This window comes from Homo sapiens, chromosome 15 (genome assembly GCF_000001405.40).
Source record: "Homo sapiens chromosome 15, GRCh38.p14 Primary Assembly".
Classification (NCBI taxonomy): Eukaryota; Metazoa; Chordata; class Mammalia; order Primates; family Hominidae; genus Homo; species Homo sapiens.
Genome location: NC_000015.10, coordinates 90,105,577 through 90,127,657, shown reverse-complemented (window position 1 = coordinate 90,127,657; position 22,081 = coordinate 90,105,577). Strand labels below are relative to the sequence as shown.

Here is a 22,081-nt window from a genome sequence, read left to right as displayed (position 1 = left end):
AGGAGGAGCTTGCAGGGAGCCAAGATCACACCACTGCACTCCAGCCTGGGCAACAGAGCGAGACTGTGTCTCAAAATAAAATAAAATAAAATAAAAATACAAAAATTTGTTGGGCATGGTAGCGGGTGCCTATAATTCCAGCTACTTGAGAGGCTGAGGCAGGAGAATCACTTGAATCTGGGAGGTGGAGGTTGCAGTGAGCTAAGATTGCACCATTGCACTCCAGCCTGGGCAACAGGAGCAAAACTCCATCTCAAAAAAAAAAAAAAAAAAAGTAAAAGAAAAAACACTGATTAAGACACTTGGGTTCCCCAGACAGTCCTTCTATATGACTGTGGGCAAGTTAACATACCACCCCAAGTCTTGGACTTCTCATCTACAGAACTGGGATAAAAATAGTACCTACTTCATAGGGTTGTTATGAGGATTAAATAGGATAATTCTAGAGCAAGCACTCCGTGCGTGAAGTTGCCAACATTATTTATGACTGTCTCTGTTGTCACTTGCAGGGGTAGAGAAGCAATGGGCAGAAGTGAGATGAAACTAAGAAATGGTAGTTTGGATCCAGGTTTTGAAATACACGAGGGCAGTGGACTTCTAGGGTCTGTTGGCCAAGGCATTCCTAATTAGAGAATGCAAGTATCAAGGGGCTGTGAGCCTAGGAGCAGGCAGCCCCTTCCTAAGGCTGCTGCTCTCTTTCTAGCCATCTGGACGACCTTGTGAGCACCTGACAGGGTGCATTCGGCAAGTGGCTGGCCAGCAAGTGGCTGGCCAGGATGCCCTACGTGCACGTCCCGGCATTCCTGAAATAGCCGCCCTGCAGTGGGGGGAGGTGCTGGTGGATGAGAATGTTAAACAGCTTGGAGCCTGGAAGGGAAAAGGTCACCTCTGGGGCTGTGTCCTCCAGGAGGGGGACACAATTGCCAGAGGAAGGAGTCCCTAAGAAGGATATTGAAGCTGCCCTAAGCTCTTGTGCAGTTGCCACGTCCTGGGCTATACTCCACAAGATCCAAAAGGAGACATGGGGTGGCTGGAGTGGTGTCTGGAGCCAGCTTGTACAGGCTCATGAGAGCCAACTGTTAAATTCTCAAGAATTTTGCAAGCCAGTTGTTACACATAGCCATTATTAAAAATTAAGTTATATAAACTTATGATTATATTAAAAGACTCAAACTCATCACTTTCTAATTATTTTACTATATTTTACTAGTATCTATGCATTTGAGGACATTTATGTCTGTTGCATCTATATGGTGGAAATATTATAGATGGAAATATACAACTCTGTTCAGTGATGCTGTGTTGGTAGTTTGAAATTGGCCATGGTGGAAATATTTACACTACCGAAATCAGCAAATGCTACAAGTTAGCAAACACACACACACACATACACACACACACACCCCCCGCACTGGAGCTGGTTGTTAAACATTTGCCAGCACCTCATTGGACAAACTGATTTCTTTCTTTTTTTTTCCCCCGAGACGGAATCTTGCTCTGTCACCCAGGCTGGAGGGCAGTGGAGCCTTTTTGGCTCAGTGCAACCTCCGCCTCCTGGGTTCAAGTGATTCTCTTGCCTTAGCCTACCAAGTAGCTGGGATTACAGGCACGTGCCACCATCCCTGGCTAATTTTTGTATTTTTTAATAGAGATGGGGTTTCACCATGTTGGCCAGGCTGGTCTTGAACTCCTGACCTCATGTGATCCACCAACCCTGGCCTTGCAAAGTGCTGGGATTACAGGCGTGAGCCACTGCACCTGGCCCAAACAAACTGATTTCTAGGAAGTTTGTTGTTAGCCATTTCTTGTGAGTTTCAGTATTAGCCATCTGCCCCACATGAACAGCGCCTGAGTTCCACTGCAGTTTTTTGGGTCTCCCTAACCCAATATCTGAGTGAGCTACCTTACACGTCCCGATCTCACTAGTCCTACCCCAGCCAGAGATGAGAATGATGGTGGCCATTATTCATCACTTATCACATGTTGCGTCCATCTTCAGTTGAGTTTTGTTTTTTGTTTTTTGTTTTTTTTGAGACACAATTGTATTCTGCCGCCCAGGCTGGACTGCAGTGCAGTTGTGCAGTCTCAGCTCACTGCAACCTCCACCTCCCAAGTTCAAGCAATTTTCCTGCCTCAGCCTCCCCAGTAGCTGGGATTACAGGCACATGGCACCATGCCAGGCTAATTTTAGTATTTTTAGTAGAGAAGGTTTCACCATGTTGGCCAGGCTGGTCTTGAACTGCCGAGCTCAAGTGATCCACCCTCCTTGGCCTCCCAAAGTGCTGGGATTATAGGCATGAGCCACCACACCCAGCCAGCTGAGTACTATTTATTTATTACTATTATTTTTTGAGACGGAGTTTCGCTCTTGTTGCCCAGGCTGGAGTGCAATGGTGCTATCTCAGCTCACTGCAACCTCCACCTCCTGGGTTCAAGCAATTCTTCTGCCTCAGCCTCCCGAATAGCTGGGATTACAGGTGTGCATCACTACGCTTGGCTAATTTTTGTATTTTTAGTAGAGACGGGGTTTCACCATGTTGGCCATGCTGGTCTTAAACTACTGACTTCAGGTGATCTACCCGTCTTGGCCTCCCAAAGTGCTGGGATTACAGGCATGAACCACCGCACCCAGCCAGCTGAGTATATTTTAACCAGCACATTACTATGAGGTTGGTACTAAGCTGTTACTCTACCCATTTTACAGATGATGATAAAGTGAGCCACGGAGAAGTCTGGAAACTCTCCCAAGGCAACCAGCTAGGACAAGGTTGGAGGCCTCACTTAATCACTAGCTCTACTGATAAACAATAATCTGATCATCTGATAAGGGAATTTAATTAAGTGGTTCAATTGCCACTCCTTCATGCTGCCAACCCTGACTACAGCTTTTAAACACCACAGGGCATTGTTTCATGTAGTTTTATTGTTCTTAGTCACAGTAGATAAAACTGTGGACTCTCAAAATGTGACCTATCCTAGGTCTTTAGGAGACTTTTATGAGTAAATAAGACTGTTCTAGAGTTAATGATCCACTATTTCAGTTGATGTAGGGCTTCTAACTCAATCAATTAGGGGTTGAGATCCAACTATGAAACTAACTCAGTTCAAGACCTGGCCATCTCCCATAAGAGCTAAAGCCTAGAGAGTAAAATTATTGTCAAAAGTTACATAGTTCAGCCACGTGCGGTGGCTCATGCCTGTAATCCCAGCACTTTGGGAGGCTGAGGCGGGCAGATCACCTGAGGTCAAGAGTTAGAGAACAGCCTGACCAACACGGAGATACCTTGTCTCTCCTAAAAATGCAAAATTAGCCAAGCGTGGTGGTGCATGCCTGTAATCCCAGCTACTCAGGAGGCTGAGGCAGGAAATCGCTTGAACCTGGGAGGCGGAGGTTGTGGTGAGCCGAGATCGCGCCATTGCACTCCAGCCTGGGCAACAAGAGTGAAACTCCGTCTCAAAAAAAAAGGTAAAAGTTACATAGTTCCTAAGAGGTGAGGACAGAATATTAACCTGACTGATTCCAGAGCCCCTGCTCCAGTGAGAGGAATATAATGGACTATTAGGCTGCTAGTAAAAAAACAAAACAAAACAAAACAAAACCTTGGGAGAAATGATAGTCAAAGGGTACAAATCCTCAATTAGACAGGAGGAATAAGTTTTTTTCTTTGAGATATATTGCACAGCATGGTGAATATAGTAAATAATAATGTGCTGTACATTTCAAAGTCACTAAGTGTAAATCTCAAATGTTCTCACTACAAAAATTATAAGAATTTGAGGTAACAGATATGTTAATTAGCTTGATTTAATTTTTCTACATTGTATTCATAAATCATAACATCACTTTGGTTTTTGTTTTTTTTTTTTAAGAGATGGGGGTTTCACAATATTGCCCAGGCTAGTCTTGAATTCCTGAACTCAAGCAATCCTCCCACCTTGGCCTCCCAAAGTGCTTAAGTTACTGGTGCCCAGCCCATAACATCACTTTGTAACCCATAGCATATACAATGGTAATTTGCCAATTTACAATTTAAAAATATGTTGTAGAAGAATATTTAATGGCAAAGAAAAATGCCCTAAAGTGTTAAGTAACAGATGAGGGCTAAAAAAATAACTTTTATCAATTCTTGAGAACACATTGTTTTTCACATTTAAACATACCTGAAATCAGGGTGGATACAAATCAATTCTAGATTAATTATAGGTATCATTGTAAAAGTTTTAAAAAAGCCTAAAGCTTCTGTACTTTAGGAAGATACTATAGAAGTTTTTTGTTTGTTTGTTTGTTTGTTTGTTTTGAGACAGAGTCTCACTCTGTTGCCCAGGCTGGAGTGCAATGGCGAAATCTTGGCTCACTGCAACTCCACCTCCTGGGTTCAAGCGATTCTCCTGCCTCAGCCTCCCGAGTAGCTGGGACTTCAGGCACATGCCACCACGCCCGGCTAATTTTTTGTGTTTTTAGTACAGATGGGGTTCCACTGTGTTAGCTAGGATGGTCTCGATCTCCTGACCTCGTGATCCGCCCACCTCGGCCTCCCAAAGTGTTGGGATTACAGGTGTGAGCCACCACGCCCGGCCTATAGGAGTTTTCAAAAAGGCATAAGTCTTCTAGAAGATACTATAGGAGAATACTTTCACAATCTTGGGATAGGAAAAGATTTATTACATAGGACATAGAAATAATAAACATAAAAGATATGTTGACAGAGCGTGGTGGCTCACACCTGTAATCCCAGCACTTTGGGAGGCCAAGACAGGTGGATCGCCTGAGGTCAGGAGTTTGAGACCAGCCTGGCCAACATGGTGAAACCCTGTCTCTACTAAAAATATAAAAATTAGCTGGGCGTGGTGACAAATGCCTGTAATTCCAGCTATTCTGGAGGCTGAGACAGGAGAATCACTTGAACCTGGGAGGCAGAGGTTGCAGTGAGCTGAGATCATGCCACTGCACTCCAGCCTGGGCAACAGAGCAAGACTCCATCTCAAAAAACAAACAAACAAACAAATAAACAAAAGATATGTCGACCTAGAGGAAAAAACTGAGGGAAAATCATTTATACAAATAGAGAGTTTATTTGGGCCAAGTTGAGGACTGCAACCTGGGAGCACAGATTCAAGTTGCCCTGAATAAATGCTCCAATTAGCAATATTTACAGATGGGTTTTTAAAGGAAAAAAGGAGAAGCAGTCCCTAAATGGTCTACCAAGAATTTACATTAAAATAATATAAGCTATTGATTGGCTATCCATTGATTTTTTTTGTATCAGGAATTCCAGGACATGAAGATAACAGATAAGGAAAAAAAAAAAAAAAAAAGGCCTTTAAACAGGTGCCCCAGGCCTGAATGTGGGAGGGCCTGGGGAGCTGTGACTGAAGTCCCATACTCAAGTCTCTCTGGGCCTGATCAATTTTGTATACAATTTCACATAGCTCAGACTGTTCTGAGCTATTTTTCTTTTCTCAGGTCAATAAGTTGGACTACATTAAAATTAAGAGTTTTTGTGCATCGAAAGATGTGTTAAAAAAATAAAGCAAGCCATTGAGTAAGAGGACATTTGCAACACATACATCCAAAAAGGAGACTCTGGGCGTGGTGGCTCATGCCTGTAATCCCAGCACTTTGGGAGGCTGAGGCAGGTGGGTCACTTGAGGTTAGGAGTTCGAGACCAGCCTGACCAACATGGTGAAACCCCATCTCTACCAAAAAAAAAAAAAAAAAAAAAAAAAAAAATTAGCTGGGCATGGTTGCGTGTGCCTGTAATTCCAACTACTTGGGAGGCTGAGGCAGGAGAATTACTTGAGTAACCTGAGAGATGGAGGTTGCAGTGAGCTGAGATCACGCCACTGTACTCCAGCCTGGGTGACAGAGCAAGACTCTGTCTCAAAATAAATAAATAAATACATAAATAAGGAGACTCATATCAAAATGTATATCAAGGCTGGGCGTGGTGGCTTATGCCTGTAATCCCAGCACTTTGGGAGGCCGAGGCAGCAGATTACCTGAGGTCAGGAGTTCAAAACCAGCCTGGCCAACATGGCAAAACCCGTCTCTATTAAAAATACAAAAACTAGCTGGGGGTGGTGGTGCACATCTGTAATCCCAGCTACTCAGGAGGCTGAGGCAGGAGAATTGCTTGAATCTGAGAGGCAGAGGTTGCAGTGAGCTGAGATCGCGCCACTGCACTCCAGCCTGGGTAACAGAGCGAGACTCCGTCAAAAAAAAAAAAAAAAGAAAAAAGAAAAAAAATGTATATCGAACTCCTACAAATCACAAACAAGCAGAAAAGCCAATGGAAAAACAGGCAAAAGATTTGAAACAGGTGCTTCACGAGAGAATATCCAAATAGCTAATAAGCATATGAAAAGGAACTCAATCTCATTAGTCCCCAGGGAAATGCAATTTAAAAATCGCACTGAGCTCCCACTACACCCACCAGAATAACTAAAGCTGAAAAGAATGACAATGCTGTTATCAGTGCTGTAGAGAAACTGAAACTCTCATACTTTGCTGGTAGAATATAAATTAGACAATCAATTTGAAAAGTTGGCAGTGTCTATTAAAACTGAACACTTTATATATGTATGTGTACGTCCTATGACCCAGTAATTCACTCATAAGTATTATTCCACAGAATTTTGTATATATGTACAGAAGATAAGTGTAAGAACGTTCATAGAAGCATCGTTAGTAATAGCCCCAAACTGTAAACACCCGATGTTCATCAATAGTAGAATGCAAATAGTAGAAATAAATTATGGCAGGTTCATAAAATGCAACTTTAGATAGCAACGGAATTAGTAAATTACAGCTACATGCAAAAACATGAATGAAGTTTATAATGTAATGTTGAGAAAAAGACACAACAGAGTATATACTGTATGACTTTATTTACACAAAAATAAAAATGGGCAAAATCAATCATTTTAGTAGAAGTTAGGATAGTAGTAGTGACCTTTGGGGAATTTGGAAAAATAATGTCTAAGAGAGAACTTAAGGATGGTTTCTGGGTTGCAGGTAATGTTGTTTTCTTTTCTTTTTTGAGACGGAGTCTCGCTCTGTCGCCCAGGCTGGAGTACAGCGCGATCTTGGCTCACTGCAACCTCCGCCTCCCAGGTTCAAGCGACTCTCCTGTCTCAGCCTTTAGGGCCTCACCTCTTAATACCATCTCACTGGCCATTGATTTTTTTTTTTTTTTTTTTTTGAGATGGAGTCTTGCTCTGTTGACCAGGCTAGAGTGCAGTGGCAGGATCTCGGGTCACTGCAACCTCCGCCTCCCGGGTTCAAGTGATTCTCCTGCCTCAGCCTCCAGAGTACCTGAGATTACAGGCATGCACCATGACTCCTGGCTATTTTTTTTTGTATTTTTAGTAGAAACGGGGTTTTGCCATGTTGGCCAGTCTGGTCTTGAACTCCTGACCTCAAGTAATCTGCCCGCCTTGGCCTCCCAAAGTGCTGGGATTACAGGTGTGAGCCACCACGCCTGGCCCAGCCATTAAATTTTAATACATGAATTCTGTGAGACATTTAGACCTTAGCAGTGAGAGTAAAATAAAACAAGTTGAAACAGAGAAACTTAATTCTCACAGACTTTTGTTAAAAGACCTGTTGAATGACACCTTTCAGTTATTAGGAAATTGAACCCAGGAGGCAGGAGTGAAATTCAAGACACAATGCTGAGTAAAGAAACTGGCATGGCTGGGTGGCTCACACCTGTAATCCCAGCACTTTTGGGAAGCTGAGGTGGGAAGATCCCTTGAACCCAGGAGTTTGAGACCAGCCTGGGCAACATAGGAAGACCCCTGTCTCTATGAAAAAAGAAAGAAAGGTGCAAACATGTTTATACATCTACTTGAAAAGAAAAATGAGGAGGCTTAGAACTCCCACTGGAACTAAAATATTATGGACTAATAACATGAAAGATGGGAGAATTGGAGAGAAATAATCTAAGTTTCTCATATTTTTAAGAAGGATAAATAAAATAATGAGTTTTAAACTTTGTAAAGTCAAGAATTTAATTTTTCCTTCCCTTCCCTTTCCCTTTTTCTTTTCTTTCTCCTTCCTCCCTTCCTTCCTTCCTTCTTTCCTTTCCTCCCTCCCTTCCTCCCTCCCTCTTTCTCTTTCTTTCTTTTCTTTTCTTTCCTTCTTTCCTTCTCTCTCTCTCTTTCTTTTTCTTTTTTTTCTTTCTGATACAGGGTCTTGCTCTGCCACCCAGGCTAGAGTGTAGTGGTGTGATCATGGCTTACTGCCACCTTGACCTGAGCTCAAGGGATCCCCCTGCCTCAGCCTCCTGAGTAGCTACAGGTGTGTGCCATCACATCTGGCTAATTGTTTTTCAATTTTGGTAGAGATAGGGTCTTGCTATGCTGCCCAGGCTGGTCTCAAACTCCTGGCTTCAAGTGATACTCCTGCCTCAGCTTCCCAAAGTGCTGAGATTATAGATGTGGGTTCCCAAGTCTGAATTTAATTTCTAAACAGGTAGAAATAGAACATATCATTTCCATACCAGTAAGGGAGGTAGAGGAGAATAAAGAAATCTTGGCTGATCCGATAGAAAGCTTAAAAGGATGTGAAAAGAAGCAAAAGAAGGCCAGGCGTGGTAACATGGGCGTATAGTCCCAACTACTTGGGAGCCTGAGGTGGGAGGATCCCTTGACCTAGAAGCCTGAAGTTGCAGTGAGCTACGGTCACACCACTGCACTCCAACCTGGCCAACAGAGTGAGACCTTGTCTCCAAAATAAATAAATAAATAGATAAGCAAAAGAAAAGCATGGCAAATAGAAAGTACAAAATAAAGTGATAGAAATGTAAAAAATATTCAGCAATCTCCATAAATGTGAACAGTGTAAATATGTTTATAAAAGACAAAGACTTTCAGCTGGGCACAGTGGTTCACGGCTATAATCCCAGCACTTTGGGAGGCCGAGGTAGGCAGATCACGAAGTCAGGAGTTTGAGGCTAGCCTGGCCAACATGGTGAAACCCCATCTCTACTAAAACTACAAAAATTAGCTGGGCCTGGTGGTTCGTACCTGTAATCCCAGCTACTGGGGAGGCTGAGGCAGGAGAATCACTTGAACCTTGGAGGCGGAGATTGCAGTGAGCCGAGCTTGTGCCACTGCACTCCAGCCTGGGCAAGAGAGCAAGACTCCATCTCAAAAAAAAAAAAAAAAAGACAGACTTTCAAAGTATGTTACAAAACCAAAACTCAGCTATGTGTGGATACACATAAAATATGTAACATAAAAAATTAAAAGTAAAAGGCATGAAAAAAGTTGTATCAGGCAAATACGGACCAAAGTAAAGCTGGTGTAGCAATATACAATAGTTCAAAATAAATCTTAAGGCAAAACGCAAGTTTAGGTATAAAGAGAATCATTATTTAATGATAAAAGGAGTAATTTACTAGAAAAATATAACAGGTATGAGCATAACACTTAAGAAAACTTCATAATATATATAGCACAAATGGATGGAATTACCAAGAGGAATGAACACATCCACAATCACACTGGGCAGTCTTAACACCTCTCTTAGAAACAAATAGCTTATAAAAACTTACAAGAACATAGATTTCAGTGGCGCTACTTGGGAGGCTGAGGTGGAAGGATTGCTTGAGCCCAGGAGGTCAAGGCTGCAATGAGCTGTGATCGTATCACTGCACTCTAATGCATCTCCCCCTGCCAAAAAAAAAAAAAAAAAAAAAAAATCGGAAAAGATTGGGTGTAGTGGCTCACACCTGTAATCCTAACACTTTGGGAGGCTGAAGTGGGAGGATTGCTTGAGTCCAGGAGTTCAAGACCAGCCTGGACAACATAGCAAGACCTTGTCTCTGCTAAAAAACAAAACAAATCAACAACAACAACAAAAAGAATACCTAGGGCTGGATGCGGTGGCTCACACCTGTAATCCCAGCACTTTGGGAGGCCAAGGTGGGCAGATCACCTGAGGTCATGAGTTCGAGACTAGCCTGGCCAAAATAGGCAAACCCTGTCTCTACTAAAAATACAAAAATTAGCCAGGCATGGTGGCGCATGCCTGTAATCCCAGCTACTCAGAGACTGAGGCAGGAGAATCACTTTAACCTGGGAGGCAGAGGTTGCAGTGAGCCGAGATCGGGCCACTGCACTCTAGCCTGGGTGACAGAGCGAGACTCCATCTCAGAAAAAAAATATATAAATCAAATAAAAAATAAATAAAAGAATACCTAGAACTGGGTGTGGTGGTATGAACCTGTAGTCCCAGCCACTTGGGAGGCTGAGGCAGGAAGATTAATTGAGCCCAGGAATTCAAGCCCAGCCTGGGCAACATAGCAAGGCTCTATCTCTTAAAACACAAACAAAGGCCAGGTGCAGTGGCTCACGCCTGTAATCCCAGCACTTTGGGATGCTGAGGTGGGAGGATTGCCTGGGTCCAGGTGGTCGAGGCTGCAGTGAGCCGAGATCATGCCACTGCACTCCAGCCTGGGTGATAGAGTGAGACCTTATGTCAAACAACAACAAAACCAAAACACCTGGAACTTACACATTTGACCACACATTGGACCACCAAAGAAGAGTCAATACATGTCAAAGAGGACAAATTATAAACTAACAAAGACTTCCCTTTGGCCAAAACTTCAGTCAGCCTCCTCTGAGTCCTCTGCCTCCATAGGCCTGACCTCGGGCTTCCCTCTCTATCTTTGTAGAATCCAGTTTGAGCAAATGACCAGCTAAGTCAGTTTAACAAAATCTAGGCCAGGCACGGTGGCTTGCGCCTGTAATCCTAGCACTTTGGGAGGCCAAGGTGGGTGCATCAGCCTGGGCAACATAGCGAAAACCCATCTGTATAAAAAATACAAAAAAATTAGGATGCATGCCTGTGGTCCCAGCGATTCGGAGGCTGAGGCAGGAGGATCGCCTGAGTCCAGGTGGTCGAGGCCGCAGTGAGCCGAGAACGTGTCACTGCACTCCAGCCTGGGTGACAGAGTGAGACCCTGTCTCAATAAAAAAGAAAGAAAGAAGAAAGAAAGGAAAGGAAAAGAACAAGGAAAGGGGAAATTAAAGGAAAGGAAAGGAAGGAAGGAAGGAAAAAAGAAGGAAGGCAGGCCCCAACCTTGGTATCTGACCCCCTTTGATATCTTATCACCCTGGCCTGCCTTCAGCAATAATGCTATCAGTCAGTTTAGCCAGAACAGAAGCCCTTTTATCCTCGATGTTTCTTTTTAGTAGTTTTCCATCCACTGATACTCAACCCCCCGCTCCTTGGTTATAGATCCCCACTTGTCCTTGTTGGAGTTGGAGTTGAGTCCACTCTCTCCCCCACTACAAGACCCCATCACAGTGGTCCCTAAACCTATCACCATAGCTCACCTTGGATAAAACCTGCCTTGCCATCTTTAACAAGCATCATGAATCATTTTTTCTTTAGCAAGACCCAGTGCAATAAAACATAAAATCACTATCAAAAAGACAGCTCCTAAATCCTATGTGTTTGTAATTTAAAAATATGTTTACATTAATTATTGGGACAATTTGGGAAAACTTAATATGGACTATATATTATACGGTATATTAAATAAAAATTATAGAAGCCCATTATTTTGGACAAAGTTCCTGGGCTAGGCCCTAACAGACCAGACTGAAAATCAAAATGGAGTCACCCATGCTACAGTTCCATTTTCACCACACCTACAATAAATTGTTGGTTGACCTTTGAAGAAATCAGAAGGAAGAGACAGCGGATTTCCCAAACAGATCTGTTTAAATCTTTACTTGATATAATAAAGTCCTTACACAAAAAAAGTAACCTAAAATAATCTGCTGTTAACTAATCAGTTATTTTTATTTTGTTCTGTCTTCCTTTCCCTGCCTTACAAGAAACAGTAATTTGATTTTATTTTAATGAATTTATTTATTTAGAGATGGAGTCTCGCTCTGTCGCCCAGGCTGGAGTGCAATGGTGCAATCTCAGCTCACTGCAACCTCTGCCTCCCAGGTTCAAGCGATTCTCTTGAATTAGTTCAAGATTCACTTGAATGTGGGAGGCGGAGGTTGCAGTGAGCTGAGATCGCACCACTGCAATCCAGCCTGGGCGAGATTAAGTCTCAAAAAGAAAAGAAAAAGAAAAAGAAAGAAGAATATCTACAAATAAATGAAGTGCACAGTCCAAACCTGTGTTGTTGAAGGCTCAACTGTAATGCACTCTTTGTTCTTTGTTTCTGCTTTCTTCAGCCCTTCTCTGTCTATAGGGCCAATCTCCATGGCCAGGTATGGTGGCTCATGCCTGTAATTCCAGCACTTTGGGAGGCTGAGGCAGGAGGATTGCCTAAGCTCAGGAGTTCAAGACCAGCCTGCACAACATAGTAAGACCTCATCTCTACCAAGAACAAAAAAATCAGCCAGGCATGGTATTGCATGCCTGTAGTCCCAGCTACTGGGGAGGCTGAGGTGGGAGGATCACTTGAGCCCAGGAGATTGAGGTTTCAGTGAGCTGTGATTATGTCACTGCACTCCAGCCTGGGTGACAGAGACCCTGTCTCAAGAAAAAAAAAAAAAAAAGCCAACCTTCTCTGCTCAGCTCATTATAACACTTATTCTGTTTTATGGAATAAAGTGTTGCCTGATTCTAGAATCACACATAAAGGAAATTGAGATCTTTATTATAAATTTATTGTAATTTTGTCTTTTGACATGTATAAATATTAAATATCTTGTGTGTGATAATGTGGCCTCCATTTTTGTTGAGATGCAATTACTCTCTTCTAGTATAATTATTCTCAAATGTTTTTATTTCGGTGTTACCACCCAACAGGTTCTTCTTCCTTGCCACACAGAAAAAGCCAATATGTTGAAACAGAAGGTGTTGCAGTAGAGAAAGAGTTTAATAATCATAGGGTGCTGAGCAAAGAGGACCAGAGATGTTTCTCAAATCCATCTCAACAAGAACTCAGAGGCTAGGGCTTTTAAGGACAATTTGACAGTCAGGGGACTAAGGAATTGGTGCTGCTGATTGGCTGGAGATGAAATAATAGGAATGTTTAAACTGTTTGGTGTGCTGAGTCAGTTTCTGGATGGGGCCACAGGACTGGTGGAGTCAGTCCGTTGGTGTGGGTCATGGGTCTGAGTGAAGTCAGCTGGTCTGCCAGAATGCAAAAGTGTGAGAAATATCTCAGACCAGCCTTAGGTTTACAATAGTGATGTTATCTACAGGAACAACTAGGGAAGTTGCAAATCTTGTGACCTCCAGCAGTTACAAATCTATATGGCTGCTGAGCAGTAAGTGATTATAGAAAAGCAAGTATGTTTACAGGTTAGCATAATTCAGACCCCTCCCATGATTCTAAATTCGAGGTCTTTCATTAGCTTTCCAAACGCGGTTTCAGTCCCAAACATGATGGGGGTTAGTTTTGGGAAAGGATTATTATCATCCTTCTTTTCTTTTCTTTCTTTTCTCTCTCTCGCTCTCTTTTTTTTTTATTTTATTTTTTTGTAGAAACAGGGTCTCACTCTGTTTCCCAGGCTGGTCTCAAACCCCTGGCTTCAAGTGATCCTCTAGCCTCAGCCTCCCAAAGTACTTAGATTACAGGCATGAGCCACTGCGCCAGGCTAACCCTTGCTTTAAGGTTAAACTATAAACAAAATTCGTCCCATACTTAGCTTGGCCTATGCCCAGGAATGAGCAAGGGCAGTTAGCTTGTGAGGTTAGAAGCAAGATGAAGTCAGTTATATTATATTTCTCTCACTGTTGTAATTTTTGCAGAGGTGGTTTTATTGGCATCCTTTTACAGACATTGTTTTTGAGGATTCCAAAGAGGTTTTGCAGTTATGGGTTATATATAAGCATATTTACTGAGTTAAAAGTTAGAAACGAATATGTTTTAGAAATATTTATTTAGGCCGGACGCGATGGCTCATGCCTGTAATCCCAGCACTTCGGGAGGCCGAGATGGGTGGATCACGAGGTCAAAAGATTGAGCCCATCCTGGCCAACATGGTGAAATCCCATCTCTACTAAAAATATAAAAATTAGCTGGACGTGGTGGGACACGCCTGTAGTCCCAGCTACTTGGGAGGCTGAGGCAGGAGAATCGCTTGAATGTGGGAGGCAGAGGTTGCAGTGAGCCGAAATCGTGCCATTGCACTCCAGCCTGGCGACAGAGGGAGACTGCATCTCAAAGAAAGAAAAAAAAAATTTATTTAAAAATAACTACAGTTTCCAAAAAAAACTTCATGAGAAGAATTGCATTGTTTACATTTTTGCAGTTCTCTCAATATCTGACTTAATGAAAGTAGCTGGATTCTCATAGCTGCTTCTGCATTTGTGTTGCTATTATGCTGTTTGGGTTGAAGTATATGAAGAAAACCCAGCCTCACACAGCTGCAAAAGGAAGGCCGGGGCGGGGGGCGGGGCGAGTATTTCATAGTTTTTTCAGATATTGAGAATATAACCATCCCTTGGTATCCATGGAGGATTGTTCCAGAACTTCCTGTGGATACCAAAATCTCAGGATGCTCAAGTCCTTGATATAAAATAGTGTAGTACTTACATATGACCAACAAATATCTGTCTGTATACTTTATTTATTTATTTATTTAGAGACGGAGTCTTGCTCTGTCGCCCAGGCTGGAGTGCAGTGGCAGGATCTCAGCTCACTGCAACCTCCGCCTCCTGGGTTCAAGTGATTCTTCCACCTCAGCCTCCCAAGTAGCTGGAATTACAGGCACCCGCCACCATGCCTGGCTAGTTTTTGTATTTTTGTAGAGACGGGGTTTCACCATGTTGGCCAGGCTGGTGTTAAACTCCTGACCTCGGGTGATCTGCCCACCTCGGCCTCCCAAAGTGCTGGGATTACAGGCATCAGCCACCTCACCCAGCCCTGTCTGTATACTTTAAATCATCTCTAGATTATTTATAATATGTAATACAATGTAAATAGTTGTATAGTTGTTATACTGTATTGTTTAGGAAATAATGATAAGGAAAAAGAGTCTGTACATGTTCGATACAGAAGCAATCTTTTGTCTGAATATTCTTCATCCACGGTTAGTTGAATCTATGGATGCAGACCCCTTTGGATACAGAGAACTGACTGCACTCATGTTCTGTAACAAAATGCACAAGTGCTAGTCTCTTAAAAGTTACTTGCAAGATATAATTTGAAACAATGAGTATTTTGTACTGTATTACATTTAAATCCACTTTTTTTTTTTTTTTAAAACAGGGTCTCACTCTGTTGCCCAGGCTGGAGTGCAGTGGTATGATCTCGGCTCACTGCAACCTCTGCCTCCCAGGCTCAGGTGATCCTTCCACCTCTCGAGTAGCTGGAATTACAGGCACGTGCTACTGAGACTGGCTGTGTCTGTTTTTAAAATAAACAATATATATCTCAATTTTTTTTTCTGGTTATAAAAGTAATAGATGCTTGTTACATGACATTCAAACCCCACAGAATTGTATAAAGTAGAAATTGAGAGTCTTGTGTAATCTCACTCCTCCCTCATACTCTTTGGCTTAAGTGCCTTCAATTTTTCATGTATGTGTGTGTGCTTACATACAGTTACTTCTCTGCAATTTTCTCCTTTTATTTATTATATCATGTAACTTTTGTTTGTTTGTTTGTTTTTTGAGACAGGGTCTCACTCTCTCACTCTGTCACCCAGGCTGTAGTGCAGTGGTGCAATCTCAGCTCACTACTACCTCTGTCTCTGGGTTCAAGTGATCCTCTCACCTCAGTCTCCCGAGTAGCTGGGACCACAGGTGCATTCCACCATGCCCAGCTAATTTCTGTATTTTTTGTAGAGACTAGGTTTCACCATTTTGCCCAGGCTGATCTCAAACTCCTGGACTCAAGCAATCTACCCTTCTTGGCCTGCCAAAGTGCTGGGATTACAGGTGTGAGCCATCACACCTGGCACACAGAACATCTTTTGATGTCAGAAAATATTGACCTACCTCATTCTTTTTTTTTTTGATGTCTTCCTTATATTTTATTCCATTCTTTTAATTAATTAATTTATTTTGTTGTTGTTATTATTATTATTATTTTTTTTTTTTTTTGAGATGGAGTCTTGCTCTGTCACCCAGGCTGGAGTGCAGTGTGCGCAATCTCGGCTCACTGCAAGCTCCGCCTCCCAGGCTCATGCCATTCTCCTGCCTCAGCCTCCCAAGTAGCTGGGACTTCAGGCGCCCACCACCACGCCTGGCTAATTTTTTGTATTTTTCGTAGAGACGGGGTTTCACCATATTAGCCAGGATGGTCTCGATCTCCTGACCTCGTGATCCGCCCGCCTAGGCCTCCCAAAGTGCTGGGATTACAGGTGTGAGCCACCGCGCCCGGCCTATTATTATGTTTTGAGACAGAGTTTCACTCTTTTGCCTAGGCTGGAGTGCAGTGGTACGATCTTGGCTCACTGCAACCTCTGCCTCCCAGGTTCAAGCGATTGTCCTGCCTCAGCCTCCAGAGTAGCTGGGATTACAGTTGCCTGCCACCACACCCAGCTAATTTTTGTACTTTCAGTAGAGATGGGTTTTCGCCATGTTGGCCAGGCTGGTCTCGAACTCCTGACCTCATGTGATCCGCCTGCCTCAGCCTCCCAAAGTGCTGGGATTACAGGCATGAGCCACTGCACTCAGCCCATTCTTTTTATTTTTTTATGTTGAATTAAATTAAAGTATTTTTTTTTTAGAGACAGGATCTTGCTGTGTTGCCTAGGTTGGTCTCAAACACCTGGCCTCAACCAATCCTCCCACCTTGGCCTCCCAAAGTGCTGAGATTTTAGGTGTGAGAGCCACCATGCCTGGCATCATTCTATGTCTCAAATCCAAAACCCTCACCCCTTGTCCAACACTTCATAAACATACCACAAATCAAAATCTCACAAGGGTAACTATTTAAATCATTTTACCTTCCTCTTTCCTTGCTCAAAAGGAATGCCCTGCATCATTAGACTATTGTTAATGCCTTTTGAAAAAAGTATGAAAAATAATTAATACTTTGTTTTTTATTAATAGTACAGTTTGAGATTTACAGACTAATTGAGCAAAGTAATACATAAAGTTCTATATACCCATCCTACTACCCTAGCCCATCCTTCATAGTCTCTCCTATTAATATTTTACCCTTGTTATACTTATTATAATCGATGAAAAAATATTGATATATTATTATTAACTGTAGTCCATAGTTTACATTAAGGTTCATTCATTGTGTTGTACAGTTCTAGGGGTTTTGACAATGTAATAACATGTAACCACCATTACATTTCCTTCCTATTCCCCTTTTCCTTCCTTCCTTCCTCCCTCTCTCCCTCCATCTCTCTCTCTTTCATTCTTTCTTTTCTTTTTTGAGACATGTTCTTACTTTGTCACCTAGGCTGGAGTGTGGTGACACAAATATGGCTGCAGTGTCAACCTCCTAGCCTCAAACGGTCCTCCCTTCTTGACCTCCTTTAATGCTGGGATTACAGGCATGAGCCATCGCGCCTGGCTAATCCACTGTTTTGAAATATCTATTGACACATTCATTTCCCCATGTTTCTCAGTGGATTGAGGTCCTCTCAGGAAAGGAATGTGCCCTCTTGTCCATTCCTGGGTCAGGACTGGCATGTCATAGGGGCTCAGTAAACTGGTGCCATGTAGGCCAGGTGCAGTGGCTCACACCTGTAATCTCAGCACTTTGGGAGGCCAAGGCGGGCGGATCACTTGAGGTCAGGAGTTCGAGACCAGCCTGGCCAACATGGCTAGACCCCATAAAAAAATACAAAAAATTGGCCCGGCATAGTGGCGCATGCCTGTAATCCCAGCTACTCGGGAGGCTGAGACAGGAGAATTGGTTGAACCTGGGGGGTGGAGGTTGCAGTGAGCCGAGATCGTACACACTGCACTCCAGCCTGGGTGACAGAGCAAGATTCTGTCTCAAAACAAAACAAAACAAAACCAACAACAACAACAAAAAACCTGTTGCATTGTAGATGTGAATGATCTGATAATATTAATATCACTAGCAGCAGATCCCCTCAGTGTGTGCCAGGCACCATTCTAAGCATTTTATCTGCGTGAGTTCATTTAATTCTCAGAATTACCCTAGGAGTAGGTGCTGTTATTATCCACATTTTGCAGATGAGGAAATTGAGGCTCAGAGAGGTTAACTGACTTGCCCAGGCAATGAGACTTTGAATCATATAAATTATTTCTGCAAATTGGATGAAATCTGTATACTCTAGGAATCTGCTGCAACATGATAATGTTGCAACTGGTTCTTTTTTTTTTTTTTTTTTCCCCCGAGATGGAGTCTTGCTCTGTCAATAGGCTGGAGTGCAATGGAGCAATCTCAGCTCACTGCAACCTCTGCCTCCCAGGTTCAAGTTATTCTCCTGCCTTAGCCTCCCAAGTAGCTGGGACTACAGGCACTCACCACCACACCTGGCTAGTTTTGTTTTGTTTTTTTTTTTTTTTTAGTAGAGATGGGGTTTTACCATGTTGGGCAGGATGGTCTTGATCTCTTGACCTCGTGATCAACCCGCCTTGGCCTCCCAAAGTGCTGGGATTACAGGCATGACCCACTGCTTCTGGCCAGCACCTGGTTCTTTGTAATGACTTTTCATCATTTCCCGTGGCCCCAACTCTGGCTCTCTGGTTTTTACTTGGATTAAGCTATGTTGCCCAGGCTGGCCTCAAATTCCTGGGCTCAAGCAATCCTCCTGCCTTGGCCTCCCAAGTAGCTGGGATTACAGGTGTGTGCCACTGAGAATGGCTCTTGGCTCTCTAGTTTTATTAATATTAGGAATTTTTAGGATTAACTTAAATGATGAGATAAAATTTCAAGAAATTAAATAGTATTTCAAAATCTTTCAAATTTGCTTCTGAACCCCATTGATGTCCATTTTCCAAAGCTAAAATCAGAGTAGATTTTGTGCTCTTTTATTGGAGGGGTCTGGGGGGTTGGATACCGTACGTGATGACTCAGGTGAATGAATGCTGTTGTCCCTGCAGCCCCCTACCCTCGGTGCAGGCTTGTGAAGGTGGGCTTGGACTTGGCCATTGTCTTAGTTCAGGATGCTATAACAAAAATGTCACAGATTGGGTGGTTTAAACAACAGAATCGGCTGGGCACGGTGGCTCACACCTGTAATCTCAGCACTTTGGGAGGCCGAGGTGGGCGGATCACCTGAGGTCAGGAGTTTGAAACCAGCCTGATCAATATGATGAAAACCCGTCTCTACTAAAAATACAAAAATTAGCTGGGTGTGGTGGTGTGCGCCTGTAATCCCAGCTACTCGGGAGGCTGAGATAGGAGAATCACTTGAACCCAGTAGGTGGAGGTTGCAGTGAGTCGAGATTGTGCCACTGCACTCCAGCCTGGACGACAGAATGAGACTCCATCTCAAAAAATAAAATAAAATAAAATAAAATAAAATAAAATAAAATAAAATAAAATAAAATAAAATAAAATAAAAAATAAACAACAGAATTTTTTTTCTGTTGGTTCTGGAGTCTAAAAAGTCCAAGATCAAGGTGCTGGTTGATTCGGTTCCTGGTGATGGCCCTCTTCCTGATTATGACCTCATGTGGCAGAGAGAGATCTCTCACCTGTCTCTTTTTACAAGGGCACTAATCCCATTTATGAAGGCATGACATAATTACCTCCCAGAGACCCTGCCTCCAAACACCATCACACTGGCTTAGGGCTTCAGCATATGAATTTTGGAGGACACAAACATTCAGTCCAGGCCAGGCACGGTGGCTCACGCCTGTAATCCCAGCACTTTGGGAGGCCGAGGTGGGAGGATCGCTTGAGGTCAGGAGTTCAAGACCAACCTGGCCAACATGGTGAAACCTCGAGAATTAAAAATACAAAAACTCAGGCTGGGCACAGTGCCTCACGCATGTAATCCCAGCACTTTGGGAGGCCGAGGCAGGCGGATCACAAGGTCAAGAGATCGAGACCATCCTGGCCAACATGGTGAAACCCTGTCTCTACTAAAAATACAAAAATTAGCCGGGTGTCGTGGTGGGTGCCTATAGTCCCAGCTACTTGGGAGGCTGAGGCGGGAGAATCTCTTGAACCCGGGAGGTGGAGGTTGCAGTGAGCTGAGATCGCGCCACTGCACTCCAGCCTGGCGACAGAGCAAGAGTCCATCTCAAAAAATAAAAATAAATAAAAATAAATAATAAAAACTACCTGGGCATGGTGGTGCACACCTGTAATCTCAGCTACTCAGGAGGCTGAGGCAGGAGAATTGCTTGAACCTGGGAGGTGGAGGTCATAGTGAGCTGAGATCATGCCACTGCACTCCAGACTGGGTGACAAAGTGAGACTCCATCTCAAAAAAAAAAAAAAAAAAGAGAAACAAACAAGCCAAAAAACACTCAGTCCATAGCAGCCACCAAGTGTGAGTTGGGTCTGGCTGTGGGCAGTACAGAACCTGTGTGGTGGAGGGAGGGGACAACGCGAGGGCACCGAGGCAGTGACAATTCAGGAGAATGCTACATTTAGGGATCCTGGGGAGGGGGAAATAGCAGACGAGAAGAGAGGGAGGTGGAGGCCATGGACTGTTAGAAGCTGTTCAGAGTTGCTTGTGTATGGCGTGGGAAGCTCCTGTGGGTATCTGAGCTGTGGAGTAGCTGCTCAGGACTGGGCTTTGGGAGGACAGTGCTGGAAGCAGCAGGTAGGGCAGATTGGGTGGGGGAGGGGGCACAGACAGCTGGCAGGGAAATAAGTTTGGAGATGACCATAAATAGCTCTGCTGTCAACGCCTCTCCCACAACTCTCTCCTCCTCCTATTCTCTGATTTCTAATAATGGCTGTGCCATTCTTCCAGCCCCAGGGATGGAAGTCTGAGTCACTCTGACTCCTCCCCCGGCCATGCCCCATGTCAAACCAGCTACAATTCCTGCTGATTCTATCTCCTCTATACCATCTCTGGAGTCCTGCCTCTCTTGGGGGTTCCGCCAGCACCCTGTGTCAGGCCTGTCCCTAGCTCAGGAACTCTTGTCTCCCTTCCCCAGGCTCTATCCCAATACCCTCTCACCACTGTTGCCAAATGTTACTGTCTGCCTATTGCACACCACAAAACGAATGCCCTGGAATGTTGGCTGGATGAAATGTGAGTCCCCGCGGGATTCACTCCTGTAATGCCAGCACTTTGGGAGGCCAAGGTGGGAGGATCACTTGAGCCCAGGAGTTCCAGAACAGCCTGGGAAACATGCTGAAACCCTGTCTCTACAAAAAATGCAAAAATTAGCCAGGCATGCACCTGTAGTCCCAGCTACTCGGGAAGCTGAGGAGGGAGGATTGCTTGGGCCTGGGAGGTCGAGGCTGCGGTGAGCTGAGATTGCACCACTGCACCACTGCACCACTGCACTCCAACCTGGGCAAAGAGTGAGACCCTGTCTCGAAAGAAAGAAAGAAAAAGACTGGTGCGGTGGCTTGTGCCTGTAATTCCAGCTACTTGGGAGACTGAAGCAAGAGAATCACTTGAACCTCGGAGGCAGAGGTTGCCCTGAGCTGAGATCACACTGCTGCACTCCAGCCTGGGCAACAGAGCAAGACTCCATCTCAAAAATAAAATAAAATAAAATAAAATAAAATAAAATAAAATAAAAGAGCCTGGGCGTGGTGGCTCATGCCTGTAATCCTAGCACTTTGGGAGGCCGAGGTGGGCTGATCACCTGAAGTCAGGAGTTCAAGACCAGCCTGGCCAACATGGTGAAACCCCCATCTCTACTCAAAATACAAAAATTAGCTGGGCATGGTGGTGCGTACCTGTAATCCCAGCTACTTGAGAGGCTGAGACAGGAGAATTGCTTGAACCTCGGAGGCAGAGGTTGCAGTGAGCCGAGTCCCACCATTGCATACCAGCCTGGGCAACAGAGCAAGACTCTGTCTCCAAAGAAAAAAGAAAAAGAAATGTGAGTCCCTGACTGCTCCCAGCTGTCCTGTCCGGCCTCCCCCCAGACCTCAGAGCTCTTTGAAGAGGCAGCTAGATGGACGCTCCTCCCCCAGGCTCTCCAGGGGCCCCTGCATCCGAGGTGCTTTTCTCCTTGCCAGATGTTTCAAGCGTCATCTACACTCCTCTTGGGACACTTTCTTTCTTTTTTTTT

At 43.8% G+C, this 22,081-nt stretch overlaps 1 long non-coding RNA gene across 1 annotated transcript in view, besides 1 other annotated feature; it reads right to left on the bottom strand.

The window, feature by feature from the left end:
• Positions 1-22,081, bottom strand: part of IDH2-DT (IDH2 divergent transcript) — a 31,441-nt gene that overhangs the window by 5,915 nt on the left and 3,445 nt on the right. The window lies entirely within an intron of this gene.
• Positions 5,572-6,071: an enhancer, noted in NCBI's record as "H3K4me1 hESC enhancer chr15:90664819-90665318 (GRCh37/hg19 assembly coordinates)". NCBI's record gives its function as "activates a minimal SCP1, AML or CMV promoter by ChIP-STARR-seq in naive H9 embryonic stem cells {active_cell/tissue: H9 hESC(naive)}" and the evidence as "EXISTENCE:reporter gene assay evidence [ECO:0000049][PMID:30033119]".